Consider the following 20,990-nt stretch of genomic DNA (forward strand, 5'->3'; position numbering starts at 1 on the left):
GCCTGAGGCTCTACCAGGGAGCCGCTAGGAGCCCAGGAAGAATGACAAAGCCAGCCCACACACGTAAAGGGCAACCTGGCCACCTCCTGCCCGTCCACTTCCCCGAAGCTGTCACAGCCCAGAGTCCGTTGTTGGGGCGTGCAGAGCTCCCCGCTGTTCCAGAGGGGGCAGCTTCCCGACTGAGCAGGAAGGAAAGGGAGGGTGGGGGCAGAACTCTATCCGGCCACTGTTGGGGACAAAAAATTTGGAAAAATGGTTTGCAGACTCTGACAAAGCTAAACATACAACCCAGAAATCACCCTCTTAGCACTGAGTCCAGCAAACTGAGAACTGTTCACACGAGAAACCACACACGATGACTGCTCAGGGCAGCTGTGTCTATAATCGACAAAACCGGGAATCGCCAAAGTGTCCAGCCGGAGAATAGACAGACAGACTGCCGCACTTCCACACTGGGAGCACCACCCAGCCACAGGAGGAGCGAGCCTGGGAAATGGACAGACAGACTCACTGCAGCACGTCTAGGCCGGGAGCACCACTCAGCCACAGGAGGAGGGAGCCTGGGGAACGGACAGACAGACTCATCGCAGCAGGTCCATGCTGGGAACACCACTCAGCCACGGGAGGAGCGAGCCTGGGGAATGGACAGACAGACTCATTGCAGCAGGTCCACACTGGGAACACCACTCAGCCACGGGAGGAGCAAGTCTGGGTAATGGAGCAACACGCACTGATCCTAAGTGCATTTTGCCAAGAGACAAAAAACAGACCGCAGCAGATACACAGTGGGTGGTCCCATTTGTATGACATTCTGAAAAAAACAAAACTATAGAACAGAAAACATATTGGCCACTGCCAGGGCTTGGGGGAGGGGGCGGAATTGGCTAAAAAGGGACACAGAAGATGGTTGTTAGGGCAGTGGAGCTGCTCTGTATAATGCCCTGGCAGTGGATAAGTGGTTCCGGGCATTGTCAACACTCTGAGACACTTCACTGCGTGTGCGATGGACTGAAGTGTGTCTTCCCCGAACTGAGATGCTGAAGCCCTAAGCCCCGGGGGGAGTATATTTGGAGATGGGTCCTAGAGGTAACTGAGGCTAAATGAGCTGACATGGGTGGGGCCCTGGCCCAGCAGGACCGGTGTCCTCCTAAGAAGAGATGCCAGAGGTCCACATGCACAGAGGAGAAGCCAGGAGAGGACACAGTGAGGGAGACAGCTCCCACCCAGAGCCACACCCCCCAGCACCTTGCTCTTGGACTTCCCGTCTCCAGGACTGTGAGCAAATCAATGTCTGCTGTTTATGTGGCCCAGTCCATAGCATTCTGTGAGGGCAACCCAGGCTGACTGGTAGTATGCAAACCAAGAAATCAGCCAGGAGGTGGGGGCCTCAGGATGGCATGTGGCACCTAACAAGTGGATCCACCTGTATTTAAAGGCAGGCGCAATAATCTTGCCCAACAGGGTGGGGAGGAGAGGAGCTGAGTAAGTAAGTAACTCCAGAATAGGGTATTTCAACTGATGCTGCCTGTGCACAGTGTGCTCCAGTGTCCGGCAGGGTTACAGATGAGCAATTCTGACACTATGTACCCTAGAGTTAAACAAGCACATACATTGTAGAGATGAGAACCAGTCAGTGCAGGAAGAACAGTTACACTTACGCTAGGGGGAGGCAGAATGGGCTTTGAGGCAGTGGATTTGAGTCTGAGATGTCAGCACGAGGCTGAGCTTGTTTTAATAAGTATCTATTTACAGTTAGATGCATACAGAAATAAATCAGATGTGTGTGGACATGGGCTAGTGGACACACATGTATTTCCCAGCTCTGCCCCTGAGAAGGCCTAGAAGCAGTGACACCCCAGGATCCTCGAGCACAGCCAGCACCCAGACCATGGCTTCTAAATCCCATTCTCTAAGGAAAGGAACCAGGGCTCTTTAGAAGGAATCTGACTCTGGGTCTACAGCGGGAAATATACAAGATGAGCCTGTGGCATCTGCTAGTGCCAGAAAGTTGGGAAGTGCAAAGTAAAAAAAAAAAAAAAAGGATGGTGGGGCATGTCAGAAACACACAGGAGACCCCAACGGTCAAGTGTGGAAACAGCGCAGCCGTAAAATAAATAGCGACCCTATTAGATGATACCCAAAGAAAATGTATCCAAGAGCCCCTATTAATATTAATTAGTGAATACATAAATAGATAAATGGGAAAGAAGAGAGAAGTCTTCGTTATAGAATTCCAAATCACCCACATAGAAGGACTGACGGAAACGGAAAGTCGGTGAGAGCACGGAGCAGGAATGGCCACGGGAGCCACCCTGTGCTGGAGGCCGAGATTGGTGAGCAGAAGTGCAGGAGAAAGAGGAAAGTTACGTGGCTTGGAAGTGTCTTTAAAGTTGCTATTAATTACTGTGGAGGTCTGAACAAGTGAACACAAATCCCTGGATGTGCCTCCTTCTAGTGGGCAGAGCTAAACTCCCCTCCCTGGGTGATGGGCTTAGGGACTTGCTCACATAGAGACCATGCCATGGGCAAGCCCACAGCCACCCCTGAGCCGAGCAGTCACATGACCCCTATGGTGTCAGTTAATGACTGGTCAGCTGGAGGCGAGTTCAGCAGGTGCCGACCACGAGGTCTGACACTACTCAAAATGACAGAGAGGGACAGGGGTGGAAACCCAGCCAGCCAGGGAGCGTCTGCCACCGGACACTGGACGTCTGCACAGCCAGGTGGGTCCAGGTCATCTTGGCAGGACTAGGGAAGCACCAGCAACTCCAGGGGACTCACGGTCCAGCCCAGGCCCTTCCCTGTCGACACAGCCCCACAGCCTGTTCCTGCCTCTGTCACCTGCGGCTGCAGGACGTGGCGAGCTCATGGTGGTGCTGGGCCCCTGGTTCAGCTGAGCTGCTGTCACAAAGGACCCGGCCCGGGGGGTTCACAGAGGACCAGGCCTGGGCGACTCACAGAGGTCCAGGCCTGGGGGAGGTCACAGAGGACCCAGCCTAGGGAACGCACAGACAACAGGATGTTATTTCTTACATCTCCGGCGGCAGGAAGTGCAGAGGCAGAGACAGGCCTCCCTGGGGTCTGGTGTAGGTCTCTTCTTCCTGATAGATGCCCTCACGTGGTCGCGGAGATGGTGGTGTCCCTGTGGTCCCTGATATAAGGGCAATAACCTTCCTTCAGGAGGCCCCACCCTCACGACCTGATCACCGCCCAAAGGCCCTCCCTCCTAACACCATCAGCTGGATGACGTTAGGGCTCAGCAAGAATGTTGAAGGGTACGAATATTCCGTCCCTGTCTGTACCCCAGGCAGTGACAGGGCGAGGCCCAGGCTCAGGACCACATCAGCCTCAATGCTCTCGGGCAGGCCCAGAGGGTGTGGGCCCTGAGGCTCCCAGTGGAGGGAGGGTGCGGAGGCCCAGGGTCCAAGGCTGCCCACTGTCGAAAGGTGACTCACTCCCCCGAGGCTCATCAGACACCAGCTGCAGACAGCTGTGCCTCCAGCTGCAGACAGCTGTGCCTCCAGCTGCGTGCCTGTGCGTGTACACATATGTGGGTGCATGTCATTGCCCGTGTGCAACAAGGCTGCAGGGGTTTGAAAAAGTGAATACAAATCCCTGGAGGGAAGAGGGAACGGCGGGGGGGGTCTGGGAAGAAGAGGGGGACCCTCTAGGAAACCAGCATTAACCGACCCCATCCTTCTGGCACCCCCATCTCCCCATCTCCTCCATGTCTGGCCAGGAAGAACCTCTGTGTAGAATAGAAAAACCACAGAACACGGAGGTGAGCGCTGTACCCCGAGGACCATGCAGGTGTCATCATAAGCAAGCAGCGTTATGGTCGCAATGACTTGTGTCCGTTAATAAAGTGGCCTCCAGCGAGGGCCACCCATGGACAGAAAGGCCTCACAGGGCGGCCGGACCCTGGCTGCCCCGAGCATGGAGCTCAAGTGAGTTGGTTCTGAGCAGGAGGATCTGGGGGGCCCAGGTGGACAGGGGCTTGGCCTGTCCCCCAGGCTGTGGCCCCATCCAGCCCTCCAGCCCCTGCACTCACCTGCACCCACCCCACAGAGCACACCCCTTGTGCCCAGGAGTGGAGCTGCCATCTGGCCTGTGAGCACCATGTTTGGACAGGAATGGGGAAAATTTCATTATTTCCATGATGAAAGAAGATTGATTTTTCTGCAGTTTCTGGAGATGCTTCTAATTGAGTCTGCTGGCCTTGTGCTTCCAACAGATGCCCATTTAGAAACCTTTCCCAGTTTTGAGCTGTTTTTCCCCCTCTTTTGGTGGGAAGAGAGCTGAATGCTTGAGTTAATCAGATATTGCAGAAAAGCAATGGGGCTGTGTCCAGCCGGAGGGAGGCACACAGTGTGTCTGGGGCACCTCATGTGTCTCAGGTGCCTGAGTTATCTGGGGTTTCTGGGGTGTCTGGGGTTCCTGGCATTGACTGGGGTACCTGGAGTGTCTGGGGTGGCTGGGGTGCCTGGAGTGCCTGGCATATCTGGGGTGCCTTTTGTGTCTGTCGTGTCTGGGGTGCCTGGGGTATCTGGGGTGCCAGCATCTAGGCAGCTGTGGGCAGGCCCAGAGCCACTGGAGCACAGAGGACATTTCAGCCCAAATGCAGAGGACAGGGGTGCTCAGGGAGCTCCAGGGGGTGCCTGTGGCAGATCCAAGTTAGCTGTTCCAGGCAAGTGGGGTGGAAGGAGGGGTGCAGGGCAGAGGGGTCCTTCCTGGCAGCTATGGGACAGGAAGGGGAGGGCGATGGTCAGCAGGGGTGGCCAGGGCTGGGTCCACGTCCCTTCCAGCTGCCAGCTCCCTCCAGCCCCTCCCTGGTCCAGACACATAGAAATGCTGACCATGGCATGACAATTGCAGGGACACATGTAGGAGACTGGAAGGACGGAGCTGCCAGGATCCAGAGCTCAAAGCCGGCCTGGGGGTTGGGGAGGGATGAGAAGCAGCAAAGACTCTGATGTGGGCCTCAGGGGCTGGGCTTGAGGCCCACACTGGCATCACAGCCAAGCCACAGAACCGGGCTTGGATGGGAGCTGGGGCCACAGAACCGGGCGTGGAGGGGAGCTGGGCTGAATGCACTCCTTGCATAAGGTTGGGAGTCCCAGAGAATTCCCTCCTTATGAAAAAGACTAAAAACTTCACAGCCAGTCTGAGGAAATGGCAAGGCAGCCAGTCAACTGCCAGGGCTTGGGAAGGAAATAGAAGCCAGCTGAGAGCTTTGCTGGGCACAGACAGGTACTCAACAAGGATTAATATTTATCAATGGAATGAAAATTAATATTTATCAATGGAATGGTTAGGCCTTGGCCTAAACCATGGATGTGTGTAAAGGTGGGGTTTACATTCCTTGTTCCATGGGAAGAACTCCTTAAGTTAAAATGCAAACACTCCTAGATTTAGTGGAAACCCCTGCAAGAAGTGGAAATCATGCAAGAAGAGAGTTCCACAAATCAGGGCACAAGAGGCTGCTATGAAGAGAACCCACGGGATGTTCTCACAGTGAAGATGAAAACCAGGTTAGGCAGTGACTACTCGAGGCAGCCCTAGGGGCTGGCCAAAGAACTGGAGAATGTGCACCCCAAAAGCAAGGGAAAAACAGAACTGCTAAGAGATACTTTAAAATAATATGTTCAAAATGTTTAAAGAAAAAAAATACAGAAACAGTAAGACAAGAATAGGACACTATGCTTGTAATCCCAGTGCTTTGGAAGGCTACGGCAGAAGGATTGCTTGAAGCCATGAGTTTGAGACCAGCCTGAGCAACAAAGCAAGACCTCATCTCTACAAAAAAAAAAAAAAAAAAATAGTGTTAAAAAATTAGCCAGGCACGGTAGATGTACTGTTGTCCTAACTACTCAGGAGGCTGAGGCAGGAGTATTGCTTGAGCCAAGGAGGTCAAGTCTGCAGTGAGCTATGACTGTGCCACTGCACTCCAGCCTCAATGATAGAATAAGATCCTGCTTCAGAAAAAAAAAAAACAAAAGAAAAGAAAAAGAAAAAAAAAGGACACTAAAAATAAAGGAGGTAGCCCGGGCGTGGTGGCTCACACCTGTAATCCTAGCACTTTGGGAGGCCAAGGCAGGCAGATCACAAGGTCAGGAGATCGAGACTATCCTGGCTAACACAGTGAAACCCCATCTCTAATAAAAATACAAAAAAATTAGCCAGGTGTGGTGGTGGGTGCCTGTAGTCCCAGCTACTCAGGAGGCTGAGGCAGGAGAATGGCATGAACCCGGGAGGCAGAGCTTGCAGTGAGCTGAGATTGTGCCACTGCACTCCAGCCTGGGTGACAGAGTGAGACTCCATCTCAAAAATAAATAAATAAATAAATAAAAATAAAGGAGATAGATTGTAAACAAATGAAAAAGAAGCAGAAAGAATTTGCAGACATAAAAACATTGAGTGTAAGAACTAAATAGACAGGCTAAATAGTCAATTAGACACAGCTGAAGAGAAAAAATGTGGATTTAAAGGTGGATCTGAGGAAGTCACTTTCTCACAAGGAAAAGGAAAATAAGAAAAGGAAATTGAATGCAAAATTCAACACACATTTTCTAAGAGTTCCAAAAAAGGGAAAAGAAAGAAAAGAGTGCACAGGCAATGTTTTGAAAGATAATCAATGAAAGTTTTCTAAGATTAAAGAAAACATTTTCTTTTTTTCTTTTTTTTTTTTTTTTGAGACAGAGTGTCACTCTGCTGCCCAGGATGGAGTACAATGGCACAATCTCAGCTCACTGCAACCTCTGCCTCTTGGGTTCCAGTGATTCTCGTGCCTCAGCCTCTAGAGTAGCTGGGACTACAGGCATGCAACACCACGCCTGGCTAATTTTTGTATTTTTTGGTAGAGATTGGGTTTCACCATGTTGGGTAGGCTGGTCTCTAACTCCTGATCTCAAGTGATCCACCCATCTCAGCCTCCCAAAGTGCTGAGATTACAGGCATGAGCCACCACTTCCAACTGAAGAAAACATTTTCTACTAGAGAATAAATAAAAGCAAATACATGCCTTGATCGTATTGAAATGAAAGACTTCTCATCAACCACAGTGATTGCCGAGGTCAGTGGGATAATATCTTCAAATCTTCAATGTGCTGACAGAAAGCAACTGTCAATCAAAAATTCTATACCCAGCTAAATTACTCTAGAGTGAAGGTAAAGGCAGTTTTAGACCAAGATCAAAAGTTTACTATCAGTGAAAGAACTTGATAGAATGTATTTTAAAATGAAGCAATAGGATTCAAGAAATGATCATGATCAGATAAATTGGTCAACTTGATAGCAAGTCTAAGTATTGAGTGTAAACGAAGTGCATAATATAGAAGTGAAGGACTTCTATATCCAGCAGTATGGCAGATGAAGTGCATAATATGAACCAATTGAAAAGGCCTATAAATGCTAGATACAATACGCTTTAAAGATCTTTCTCAGTAAATCACAAAACTATCTGGAAAGTAAGACATCCTCAGAGTCCAGAACCACAGTGAAAGTGGACATCCTGTGAGGTGAATTCACATTGAACACAGGCTCCCTCCCAAAGAAGGGGTGGAGCTCTGGTGACCAGACTTCAGGTTCTGACGATGTGGAGAGGGTCTAGGAGGAAATCCACAATGTAAGTGTATTCATGAAAATGCGTATACACACATACATGCACGCACACACACACGCATATTTATATGTGTGTAATAGGTATAATACATGTATATATACCAATCAACAGTATTTTAATAGAGTTTGGAATTGCAGATTAAAGGGGAAAGGAAAGCTTATTCAATAATTGGTGCTGGGAAAACTGGTTAATATCTTAAAAAAATAAGGAAAATTGATTTCTACTTCCTTCATACATAAACATCAGTTCCAAATGAATCAAAGACTTACTGGAAATATAAATGTTTACAAAACTTCGAAGGTCAACATAGGAGAACATACTTATGACCATGGCCTAAGGAATACTTTCTTCAACAAAACCCCAACAGTGCAAATACTAAGGGAAAAGATTGACAAAGTCTGTGACATTAAAATTCGTCAGGGGCAGCATAAATAGATGGGATGTAGACCCACCAACTGGGAAAAGATACTTGCAATGCATTCAGCTGGCATGAATTAGTGCCCAGAATGCATAACTAACTCTACCAAATGAATGAGAAACAATCAAGATTGAATGTGAAAGAGGAATATAAGTGGCCAGTTAAGAAGCACTCGGTATTCAGGTGAATGCAAATTAAAACCATCATTTGAAAACGTGTTACAGAACTGTCCACAGTCTGGAAACATCAAGCGTTGGTGAGACTATGAGGAAGGTGCCCTGGCGCAGTGAACATCAGTTTGGATCATTTTAAAGAAACTAAGTGAAACTGAGAGATGTTGCGGTTGCACAATTGCACGTGCGTTCCTCTGAGCGGCTGGAATGTTGGGCGCGTGTGGCCCCATGAGCAATTTCCAGCATTTCTCACCATAGCACAGGTGGAAAAGGGCAGAGTGAGGGGAGTGCTGAGGGGCACCAGGCCTGGCCAAGTCACCCTGCAGGTCAAATGGGGGGCATCACGATCTCCCTGCCCACCTGTGGGAAGCACTAGAGAAACTCCCACCCTGGGCATGTGGGTCTGTGCAAGAATGCTCAATGTGGCCATTTCTATAATGTTGTGAAAAATGAGAGCAGCCCAAGCTGCTGGCGGTGGTAGGTTGGATACACCAGCTGTGGTTCATCGAGACGGCAGAACCCCATGCGGCCGTGGACAGGGAGGAACCCCAGGCAGCTGTGGACAGGGAGGAACCCCAGGCAGCTGTGGACAGGGAGGAACCCCAGGCAGCTGTGGACAGGGCGGAACCCCAGGCAGCTGTGGACAGGGAGGAACCCCAGGCAGCTGTGGACAGGGAGGAACCCCAGGCAGCTGTGGACAGGGCGGAACCCCAGGCAGCTGTGGAGAGGGTGGAACCCCAGGCAGGTGCTCAGCGTGAGGGGCTCTCAGGGACATCCCACCAGGAGAGACAGCATCAGCAGGATGTGGGGGCAGGAGTCCCAGCTGGTGATCCATCTAGGACGAGGCGATCCGGCAAGACATTGCTTAGGGGTCCTTGCCAATGTGGAAACATTATTTTAAAAGCCAGGTAACGGGAAACAAAATTCATGGTGGCATTTCCCCCGTGGGGGTGGCAGACGGATGGAGCTGAGCAGGGCCCCACAGGGCTCTTCAGGAATTCTTGGGTTTTTCTGTCTGTTTATTTGAGGCTGAGTGGCAGATACCCAGGTTGGTTTGCATTTCTTATGGGTACCATGCACTTAATCTAAACAGCCTTCCATCTATTGAAGAAGAAAGAGTGTGAATCCACACGCCACATGCCTGCACCAGTCGGTCTCCCTCGGCTGCACGGCAAGCCACCCCCAAGACAGTGGCTTCTCACAGCAGCCATCAGGGCTCTCGAAGCTGTGCACCTGCACCCACTCACATGCCAGCAGCCCAGGCCAGGCTCAGCGGGGTGGCTTCTGATCTCAACTTGACCCTCACATGTTGCTGGTCAGTGGCCGGCATGACTGGGGCTGGGCTGGTGGAGGCCTGGTGTGAAGACCCCAGCTGGGGTCCTTGCTGCTCCACAGGCCCGGGCTCCTTTGCCAAGCAGCTCGGCAGGGATCCCACAGTAAACAGGAGGCTCTCAAGCCCCGGCTGGGCCTCACAGTGATGCTTCCACCACATTCTGTTGGCCAAGCGGCCACAGGCTGGCCCTGGCTGAGGGAGTAGACAAGAGGCAGAGTCCACCCTTTTATGGGAAGGGTTGCAAAGAATCAAGGTGGCTTTGCACCCCTGTGAAAGCCTGGAGCCAGGGGGACAGACTCAGGGGCATCTGGGTCTCCCCACGTTTCTGATGTGTGGTCCCTGGGCAGAGAAGCTCCCCCTCTCCTGCCCACCGCTGGATCCACGTGTGCCGCCAGGCCCCAGGGAGACCCTGGAGGTCAGGTCCCCCCTCAAGGCCTCAGGGGACAGGGAGGAACCCTAGGCAGCTGTGGACAGGGAGGAACCCCAGGCAGCTGTGGACAGGGCGGAACTGGCCTCGGTCTGGCCCCAGTTCCTGCAGTCTCTCCTGAGCCCCATGGGCTGGAGGAAGCTGCTGCCCACATCGGCCCACACTTAGCTCCAGGCCTTGGCAGCCTGCAGGATCCAGCCCTCCACTCGGGCCTGCTCTGAAGTCATGGAGCCTTCAGAGGAAACCCTGTCCCTCCTCAGTGTGTCCTCAGCCCAGCCAAGTGGCCGCATCAGGGAGGACCGTGGACTTCCGTGGGCTGTCCTGCCTGCCTTCTCGCACCACAGTGCTCACTCTCATTCTCACCCTCTCTCTGTCTCTCTTTGATATGGTTTGGCTGTGTCCCCACCCAAACCTCATCTCAAATTGTAATCCCCATAATCCTCCTGTGTCAAGGGAGGGATCAGGTGGAAGTGATTGGATCATGCGGGTGGTTTCCCCATGCCGTTCTCGTGATAATGAGTGAGTTCTCACAAGACCTGATGGTTTTATACGCATCTGGCATTTCCCCTGCTTGAACTTCTCTCTCCTGCCATCTTGTGAAGAAGGTCCTTGCTTCTCCTTTGCCTTTCTCCATGACTGTAAATTTCCCGAGGGCTCCCCAGCCATGCTGAACTGTCAGTCAATTAAACCTCTTTCCCTTATACCCAGTCTCGGGTATTTCTTTATAGCAGTGGGAAACTGGGCTATCTTTGTGTCTGTCTCTCTGCTGTGTCTCTCTTTTTGTCTCTCTGACTCTCTCTGCTGCTCTCTCTGTCTCTATCTCTTTCTTTGTCTCTGCTACTGTCTCTCTGCCTGTCTCTGCCTCTTTCTGCTGTCTCTCTCTCTCTGCTGTTATCTCTGTCTCTGCTGCTGTCTCTCTCTGTCTCTGCTGCTGTCTCTGTCTCTGTCTCTCTCTTCCTCTCAGGCCCCCTCTCACCCTCAGCCCCTACGGTCTGACAGCCCTGACTGTCCTTTGCCCCCCAGAGGGGTGACCAGTGTCCTTGCTGTGGACGCTCCAGGATGGGTTATAGAGGAGGAGAAGACTCCCATGTGCTTTTAAGAACCAACTGATGTCCTTTTTTGAGGGAAAAAAATATTGATTGCTGATATCTGCAATAATGAACCCCAGCAAATTACACAAATTACCTCAGACGGCCTCCTGACAAGTGTCATCCCCAGAGGCGTCCACAGAAATGTCATTTGCCGAACTCATATTAAACATCCTCCAAGACAGATTTAAAATAACTTTGGAGGTAAAAGTCTAAGTTGCACAGACATAAAAATGACAACATATGCTAGCTGGAATTATATATTTGTGAATTAATTCTTGCATAAAATTAGAATTTGAGGACTCAACTGCAATGCTGTACATTTTTGTTGTTAGCAATTATCTTGTAACCAATTTGAATCTATACTCAAAAACTTCATTTACATGTTTCTCACAATGTGCTGTGTAAGGGAAATTGGCCCTTTAAGAAAACAACTTAAGGGAAGTTTATCGTTTTTTAAAGTCTGAAGCTGTCTGCGCAATTTGAAGCTGCTGAGAGCCATGGGATGAGGAGGCGGAGCTAGGAGAAAAACTGTATTTGAATCATGGGAAATCTGGAGCTCAAAGCCACAGGAAGCTGAGGAGAAAGGTGTTTGGGTACATGCTAACTCAAGGCTAGCCCTGGCCCCCTGTAGCCACTACTGCAGGTAATAGTGCTTGTGTTAACCCCATCAATAACAGACTACAAGCTTACATGTGGGGTTAAAATTCACTGCTCAGATGTTGGTGTTCAGACTTCAACACTGCCCCCTGGTGGCAAGAGATTCAAAATGCAGGAAAAGACGGAAAATAGCTGCGGAGTTGTTTTGTTTCGTTTTGTTAGTACTGAATGGCAAATCTCAATATATAACAATGTAGGGAATTAATGTTCCTTTGCCCCTCTGTCTTTTTCATTTGCTTCATCTGAACAGCACTAACTGATGGTGCCGTTGTAATGAGAACCAGAGGAGGGGCCTTTGGCTGTTGGACACCCAACAGTAGACCTAGGTGAAGTGTGTGCCTGTCCCTTGAGGCTCAACAAGACACTGCAGTGCTTTATCACTGAAGCGTGAGAAGCCCTGGATCCAGAGACTGCTGAGAAGGGAGTCCCCAGAATGGGTGTGATGGCCCTCCTGCAGTGCAGGCAATCCCCTTGCTACATGTGACATTGGTTCAACCAACAGTTTTAGGTGCTTTGGGAATTTGGGTTCCTCCAGGATGAATCTCCCCAAACCCCAACATGCTGGAGTAGAATCAGGAAAGATTTGCTGCATTTCTAAGATGAAGAAATTTGGAGAAATTAGAACCTTTTTTCCCATCTTAAGTTTCCCTCCCATCTTTCAAGACAAGCAGAGGTTAAAGATGAACTTCTGTGAGTTCTCTGAGAATGGCTGAAACTCTTGCTTTTGTGAAATGTTCTGATCTCATTACAAGCAGGGAATCTACCTTAAGCCCTGGGTTTAAAACAAAATGACCTGTCTTTCCTGATCTCCCTGCAAAGTGGGGCAGGTTTTGGCACTGGGCTTCAGTCTCATCAGCCCCTGAGTCCTGGCACAGAACAACTTCTAGAGTGTTGACTTCACATCCCAGTTTACTTAAGAAATCAGTCACTCTCCCCTAGATTTTTTTAAATGACTTGTGTTTGACATCTCTTCTCTTTGGAAAACAGTTTCCCTAGATGCAGAATCTGATAAATAAGTTGCAGTCTCTTATGTCTTTTATATTATTTCCTAAATATTTTTGCTCATTATATTTTTACAGTTTCACATGCTTTTTTGATTTTTTGGGGGGTGGGGGACAGAGTCTTGCTCTGTCGCCCAGGCTGGAGTGCAATGGCGCAATCTCGGCTCACTGCAACCTTCACCTCCCAGGTTAAAGTGATTCTCCTGCCTCAGCCTCCCAAGTGGCTGGGATTACAGGTGCCCACCACCACACCCGGCTAATTTTTGTATTTTTAGTAGAGATGGGGTTTCACCATGTTGGCCAGGCTGGTCTCCAACTGCCGACCTCAGGTGATCTGCCTACCTCAGCCTCCCAAAGTGCTGAGATTATAGACATGAGCCATTGCACCTGGCCTTTGATTTCTATAGAGAAATAAACTTTACTCACATTTTCAGAGAATCCAGTTGGAATCTTCAAAGACTCCAATATCTGCTTAGAAGCTTCTTAGGTAAGTGAAGTTTGTTCTTTTTAAAAATCAGTAAGTCATTTCACTCACTAAGTATCCTCCCTATTTAACATTTCATTTTGAAACAATTATAGATTTACATAAGAGTTTAAAAGATATTAAAAGTCCCCTGGGTTCGACCCGCCTGTCTCTGATCTCCCCACCACCGTCCACGGCTGGGTGGGCAGCAGCCAGCTCCAGGGGACTCCATGCCCTTCCTCCCCTCTACAAGACCCTCCCCAGCCCATGCCTCCTCCAGACCCTGGGGTCCCACCCCACCGGCAGGAGCAGCCCCTTTGGCCTCCCATGGGGCAGGGAGGGGCCACAGGCCTGGATGGTCCTGGCATTAGCCCCTTCCCTGAAGCTCATTCACCTCATATGTGAATTATCATCAGACACATCAGTGCCGCCAATAACTCAAGAAACGCAGCCCCTTTTATGAGTCATTGTGTCAGCATTCACAAATAATCCGACCCTGCTTCTCACTGAAATAACGGCAGGCACGATAATTAGGGTCACCGCACGCTCGTCGCATCGTTACGATCCCCCCGTTCCAGCCACGCTCGTTACAGCCTGTGATTTATTTTGTTTATGCACAAAAACGTATTTCTGTGGAGAATTGCGACTTCTGTTTTGAGTATAACTACACACCATTTTAAACACACATATCAATTACTTATATAAAATACTGAATTTTTCAAAAGACTCCCCAGGAGAGAAGAAGGGGTGCAGCCCAGGGGGAAGCTCAAGGACAGCCTGCGTTATTAGTGTTATTTATCATTATCCTTGTTCTTATCCTTAGCAAGCAGTGAAGTCCTGAAAAGGGGCAGGCAGAGTGGCCTCCAGGTCACCGAGCCGAGGGAAGGGGTCGCCTGGTCTGAGTGAGGCCAGATTTTTCCCAGTGCCTGGCCTGCTACGGGGCTGGGTCCTGAACAGGTGAATAAACGGCGCAACTCCATCCAGGTTTGTACCCACGTGCCCCGTGTGGCCAGCGGGGCCTGCTTTCCTTCTCAAAAGGGCCCTGCTGGCCCCTAACTTCTATACACACCCTACGGATAGGGCCGTGAGCTGTGCAGGGTCTGAATGACCACAGGGCGTCCCGGGAATCACAGTCGCTGGGTGAGAAAGTGGCCGCAGTACCCGGGTGCAAGGCAGGGAATGGTGCAGACTGCCCGGCGGGCCGAGCTGTGAGGGTCCGGCATGTGGGGTGAGGGCTGAGACGGCTTCCCCTGTGGCCTCTGGGCAGCCAGGACACCTCCCGACAGCCGTGCCCGCCTCCTCCCGCCAGACCGGGGTTCACATAGAGAAAGACGCAGCTCCAGGCCCAAGCAGCCCGCAGCCCCCGGCTTCCAGACAGCTCATTTGTCTTGATTATCTCTGCTGCTGCCCCCAGCCCAGCCTCATTTCCGGTAGGTACTGGAGGCCAGATAAGGGTTTGCGGGAAAATAATCAGCAAGAACAGCTTCCCCCAGCCCAGCCGGGCCTCAGCACCTCAGCCCCACTCAGGGCTCCCCACCCCAGCCCCAGGGGCCTGCTTTGGGGCCACTCCCGGTCCTGGGAGAGGGAGGTGCCTGCTGGGAGACAGCATGCCAAGGGACCCAGGCCCCTGAGATGCCCATAGCAGGAAGCGGCGCAGACACGGGGGCAACAGGCAGCGTGGGTCTGGCGGGGCTGGTCTAGGGTGGATCTGGGCAGAGCTCCTACCTGCGGGGCCCACGTAGACTCCTGTGAAGACGAAAGTTCCATGAGTGCGTCCTCAATACAGCTCCAGGCCTGAGACACCCTTGCCCCATCGCCTTACAGCCCTTCCAGCGCGGGCGCCGTTGCATGCTCCACCCATGCTGCACAGGTGGCCAAGGGGCTCCTTGTTCTGCGGACTCCCCTTCCAGCTCAGGCACCAGCCAGGTGCTGGGGTCGCTAAGGGGGATGGAGGAGGCATTCGTCACCTTCCTTTTGGGGTGCGGGGCAGGCCCCAGCTCCAGCTGTGGCGGCCCCCCAGGGAGGGGGGTTTTCTGCCCAGAGCCCCCAGGAGAACCACGAGGAGGACGGGAGTGTGTGGGGCAAGGGGCCCCCTAGCCCAGGCAGTGGAGAGAGGCCAAGAAGGCGGAGGGGAGTGAGGAGGGGCCGCTTCGTTCTCCTAATGACAAACCTGGCTCAGCGCAGGCACCTGAAAGCGATTGGCAATCAATACTCACTCACCGAAGGCTTATCTGGATTAAGGTGGTTTCTTTTCCCTTTTGAGATTTTGCATCCCTTTAGATTTCTTTTTTCTCTTTTGCCTACTTGGGTGTATTTTCTGAATTGTTTAAGTAGTTTGCTGATGAACACCACTGCCTTAATTTCAAGCAACAAGCAGAATCCAACCTGCTAACTGATAAGGAGGCCACACAGGGAACCAGCCCTGGATGTGCAGGACACAGGGGCGGCTCTGCCCAAGGGGAGCCGCCAGCACCCCTCATGTCTCTTCCTGCACCTGCATGGGAGGGGCCGCTCTGCCCGAGGGGAGGGGCCAGCACCCCTCGTGTCTCTTCCTGCACCTGCATGGGAGGGGCCCCCTCAGAGCTGGGCGCAGGCACTGGCGCGGGCATGGCAGCTCGGCCTCAAGCTCCCCACAGCCTCCACTCAGAGCACTCGCTGGCTCACAGCCCAGGAGATCTAAAAACTCAGGGAGAAAATGGGGGAAACAGAAGACAGACAAGCATGGAACCTCGCAGGGGAAAGATTTTGCTCAGCTGAGAAACAGCAACAAAATTGCCGAAGCTGAGACGGAGAAAGGGGAAACCATCACGCCAGCATGAGGCGAGAGCCGCACACGTGGACCAGGCGCAGGTGACGCATGTCGCCTCCAGGTGCGCAGCTCCGGGGCTGTCCCAGAAGATCAGGTGGGGAGCATTCGGTACCATTCCTGGAAACACTGGAGACTCTAAATCACATGTGTGTATGTGCCCATTAACCCACCTTTCAAAATAACTAATCCAAAGCATAAGATAAGAATCCTTATGCTCAAAGATATTTGTTGCAGTCTCATTCATGAGATAAAAATTCACAAACAGCTTCAGTGTCCATCAATAAGGAAATAGGAAAATTACTATATATCCATCTGCCCAATGAAATAGGCACAGATGGGATCCTAGAGTGGATAAAATAGCATAGACACTATGCTATGTTATCACTATTTACATAGTGTATATGTAAATACACTTTATTTACAATAAAGTGTACATTTAAAATTACAATGTCTTTAAAACATGATTATGTCTGTGTGTGTGTGTGTGTGTGTGTGTGTGTGTGTGTGTGTGTGTGTGTGAAAGCCCATAGAGGAAAAAAACCCATTCGATTGAAATAGACCAAACTATAACAGAAGTCATCTTTGGTCAATGGATCTAAAGATGATTTTTTAATTTTTTCTAAGTTCAAGTGTTTCACAAATTATTTTAAATAAGCACACATTACCTTTATAATATGGTAATGTACGTATTGATAAGTATAATGATAAGTATTCTAAGATCCAGGATATTTATTCTTCCGATGTGTTTGAAGAGCACAAGGGAGAAACCTGTTTCCCTTCCTCTTTGGGCCGAGGCTCCCTGGGCCGTGCAAGGCTCTGCGGAAGGGGAGCCCTGCCCCCGTCTGTCCCGGATGTGGCCCCTGGAATTTGGTGGCTCCAGGAAATAGGAGCTGAATGAACGAATGTTTTATTGAGTGCCTGCTGGAGCCAGGCCTTGTTAGATTGAGATATACTATTAACTAAGTGGGTGGATCACTTGAGGTCAGGACTTTGAGACCAGCCTGACCAACATGGTGAAACCCCATCTCTATCTCTAATAAAAATACAAAATTTGCTGGGCGTGGTAGCACATGCCTGTAATCCCAGCTACTCGGGAGGCTGAGGGAGGAGAATCACTTGAACCTGGGAGGCAGAGGTTGCAGTGAGCCGATATTGAGCCATTGCACTCCAGCCTGGGCAACAGAGCGAGACTCCATCTCAAAAAAAAAGAAATACTGTTAAGAAAGCAGAGCCCCACACTGGAGCAGCCCCTGGATATCTGCAATCTGGCTTAACAAATCTATCAGCTAAGTCTGCAGGTGCAAGCCCCGCTAGGATAGATGACACCAAAAGAATAAATCCGATGGATCACGTGTGAAATATTGTATGTGCAAGACAAATCATTTGAACTACCAAAATAAGTCAGAAGTACTCTACAAAAGCAGCTTAAAAAGTTCTTAGATGGCCCTGCTGGGCCAGCTTCTCCAGGCCTCTGGTGATTCTGGGGCCACCCAAGTCCACATTGCCTCAACCATCTGGTGGCACCTGGACCAAGCCAGGGCCCGAGCCTGGCAGAGGAAGCAGGTCCTGTTTGCGTCTCAGAGTCAGAATGTCCTTCTCCATGAGACACTCACACCCTGTCCCAGCTAATTTTTGAATTTTTAGTAGAGACAAGGTTTCTCCATGATGGTCAGGCTGACCTCAGGCGATCTGCCCACCTCAGCCTCCCAAAGTGCTGGGATTACAGGCGTGAGCCACCATGCGCAGCCAACACACTCTTAATTTTATTTTAGCTAGTACAGATAACATAACCAAGGGACTGACTGTTTTGCTTTTTTTATTACTTTGCATTTCCTTATGTATCCAGCAAACCAGCTCCCCAGGAGTTGGATCCATCTTTAAATTCCACTGGTAACTTTCACCTTTGGTAGCTGAGCCCAGACCACCTGCAGCTCCATACCAGGGGTGACCATGTGGCCACCTAGGAATCAAAGTTCCTCAACCCCCACCCTTTTATCCTTTCTCTTCCCAAACCCATGTTTCTATGAGCCAGGCCCTTCTAGCAAATCCCACTTCTGATACCAATTCCGTAGAAAAAAACAAAACTGTTTTTCCTCTGCTGTCATCCCACATCCATCAATACAGAAGAATTCTGTGACCTCTGGAGTCACAGAGGTCAGGGGTGGGTTGTCCCCACCAACAACCAATCAATTGCCTCTGTAGTGGACGGTAGCTGAGTGTCCCCTAATTCAATTCAGCTCTGATACTGTCTACCTGGAGATAGCATCAGAGCCCACAGCTTGAGGGCTCAGTCCCACAAGAATCTCCCTAATTTCAATGCCAGTTACAAGCCCTGGGTTGTTTTGCTTGTGCTTCTGACTAAAAGGCTGTAAATCAAGGTTCCCAAATCCCCTCCTTGGGTTAATAAAATTAATAAAATTTTCTAGAGGGGCTCACAGAACTCAGGGAAACAGTTAGTTACATTTCCTGGTTTATTATAAAGGATATTACAAAGGACACAGATGAAGAAATGCATAGGGTGAGTTATGGAGGAAGGGGTGTGGAGCTTCCATATCCTCCCTGGCCACATCACCTTCCAGGAACCTTCATGTGTTCAGCTGTCCAGAAACTCCCAGAACCTGTCCTTTTGGGTTTTTATGAAGGCTTCATTATGTAGGCATGATTGGTTAAATCACTGGCCATTGGTGATTAGCTCAACTTCAGCCCCTCCCCTTCCCACAGATTGGAGGTTTGCTGATAGTCCCAACCTCTCATCCTGCCTTGGTCTCTCCAGTCACCAGCCCCCATCCTGAAGCCACCTAGGGGATGCCAGCCATCTGTCAACTCATTAACATACAAAAACACACTCATCGCTTTCGAGAGTCCAAGGATTTTAGGACTTATAGGCAGGAAACTAGGTGAAGATCAAATACATATTTCATGGTATCACAGCCTGGAAATAAGGGAATGATTTCCTGGAGGAAGAATCAGACAATTTGAACTTGGAGGTACCATGAGGCAAAAATACCCCTGGGAGCTGCCCATGCAGCCTTCAGCAGGGTCAGCACCACCACCCACACCCCACTGTCCTGCCCAGGCCCTGAGCCCATGCTTTCCCAGGGGAATAAAGGTGTTCCCCTAGGACTCAGACCCGAGTCCAAACTGCAGTGCTCCCTTTTCTTTTCCAGGATTTGCAAAGAAAAGAAGGGCTTACCCTCACCAGCTGCTACTGGAATAAGAGGTGTCCGGTTGTCCCTAGTGGGAGGAGGGATACCTGTCCCCAGAAGAGCCCAAGTGCCCAGTAAGAATGGCCATCTCAGTAGGCATTGGGTTGGCCAGTCCTTGCCCTGGAGCTGTCCTTGCTGCTACCTCCTTCCAAGGGAAGCCAGGAAGGGGCTGGGCTGACCCCACATTTGCACAGTTTCCCAATCATATGGTACAATTATTCTTTCACTCACAGGGAAATTAGGCAGAGGCCTGAAATCAGGCATCGACTGGACCTCAGTAAGCTGCCATTAAGAATAACCAGGTAAAGAACTAAGGTCATAGATCCTTAGGAAGGAATAGAAGAGCCTGGGAGTGATGACGTATCCCCAACAGCACACTTTGGACTAAGCGGGGTCATTTCTCTGGTTACAAACCTATTATTTAAAATGTCATGCCAATGAATTCGAAAATTTACATGCAATGGAAAATGTCCTAGATAACTCACCAAAACTGACATAAGAAGAAAAAGAAAATGTAAGCAGCCCTATATCTATCTATTAAATACATTGTATCACATTTAAAACCTTTCCGCAAAGAAAACTGTAGCCCCAAGGGATTTCACCACTGAATTCTGCCAAATATTTAAGGAAGAAAATGCTGATTATATCCAAACTCTTACAGAGAATTGTAGAAGCATGAAAATGCCCCAACTCATTTTTGAACCCAGCATGTCACTGATACTTAAGTAAGACTAAGAAATTACAAGAAAATTGAAATAAAGGCCAATCTTCCTCATGAACTTGGATGAAAACTCCACAGCAAAATATTAGCAAACCAGACCTACTAACATAGACAAAAAGGAATGTATCACAAATACATCTGGAAGTGTGTTCACCTGGGAATGCAAGGTTGATTTAACATTTAAAAATCAATCCGTGGGATCTGTCACATTAATGCTGAGCTGAGGGGTTCACCACATGAAAAGATTCCCAGATGAAAACACTCCTTGCCTCCCACTCTGTTGACAGATGCTGATGGCAGTCAACCAGCCAAAGACCTGTGGAGAAGCAAGGTGGAAACTGGTGGGCTTGGCTGATTGGGAAAAGAAATGACCAGAGGAAGAAGAAAGGAGACAAGGAGGAGGCATTCTCTAAATCTCAGGAAAGCTCCCAAATGCTTCCCGAGCCAGGAACCCAAGACCCACACCTCCCACCACAGGCATTGGTCCCCAAGCCCCCCATCTCCTCAGCAGCAATATTACCCTTAAAGCCCAAATGCAATCAGGTTACTTCCCAATTGAGTGAAACTTAATTGCAGAGGATGAACCCAAAATCCTACTGGGCATCCAAGACCCTTGGCAAAACGGCACTACACTGCCCTCCAGAGTTATCCACGTGTCTACCTGTGAACCCTCGACCCCCGAGCACTCATGTCTTTGGGAACTTTGATCACACACACCCACCTCTCATGCTCCTGCCTCACCCGACACCCACATATTTCTCTTCTGAGCCACGACCAGTCCCACCCTCCCTGGGTGCCCCTGTATGTCCACCCTCCTATGTTGGGTCCTGCTGTGTCCCAGCACCTGTTCCCAGGCCAGCTCTTGCTCCAGTCCTGGCACCACGCCTCGGTTGTTCATCCCCAGTGCTGGGCACATACGTGATGGCTTCGTCCGTTTGGGCCACGGCAGCGAACTACCATAACTTATAAACAGCAGGCATTCACTACTCACAGCTCTGGAAGCTGGGAGTCCAAGAACAGCTCTGGAGGCTGGCAGGCTCTGTGTGGTGGGGACCCACTTCCTGGCTCAT

The 20,990-nt window shown here is 50.2% G+C and overlaps 2 annotated features.

Moving 5' to 3' along the window:
* Positions 229 to 1,022: an enhancer, noted in NCBI's record as "H3K27ac-H3K4me1 hESC enhancer chr22:50083997-50084790 (GRCh37/hg19 assembly coordinates)". NCBI's record gives its function as "activates a minimal SCP1, AML or CMV promoter by ChIP-STARR-seq in primed H9 embryonic stem cells {active_cell/tissue: H9 hESC(primed)}" and the evidence as "EXISTENCE:reporter gene assay evidence [ECO:0000049][PMID:30033119]".
* Positions 4,278 to 4,778: an enhancer, noted in NCBI's record as "H3K4me1 hESC enhancer chr22:50088046-50088546 (GRCh37/hg19 assembly coordinates)". NCBI's record gives its function as "activates a minimal SCP1, AML or CMV promoter by ChIP-STARR-seq in primed H9 embryonic stem cells {active_cell/tissue: H9 hESC(primed)}" and the evidence as "EXISTENCE:reporter gene assay evidence [ECO:0000049][PMID:30033119]".

Source organism: Homo sapiens, chromosome 22 (assembly GCF_000001405.40).
Source record: "Homo sapiens chromosome 22, GRCh38.p14 Primary Assembly".
NCBI lineage: Eukaryota > Metazoa > Chordata > Mammalia > Primates > Hominidae > Homo > Homo sapiens.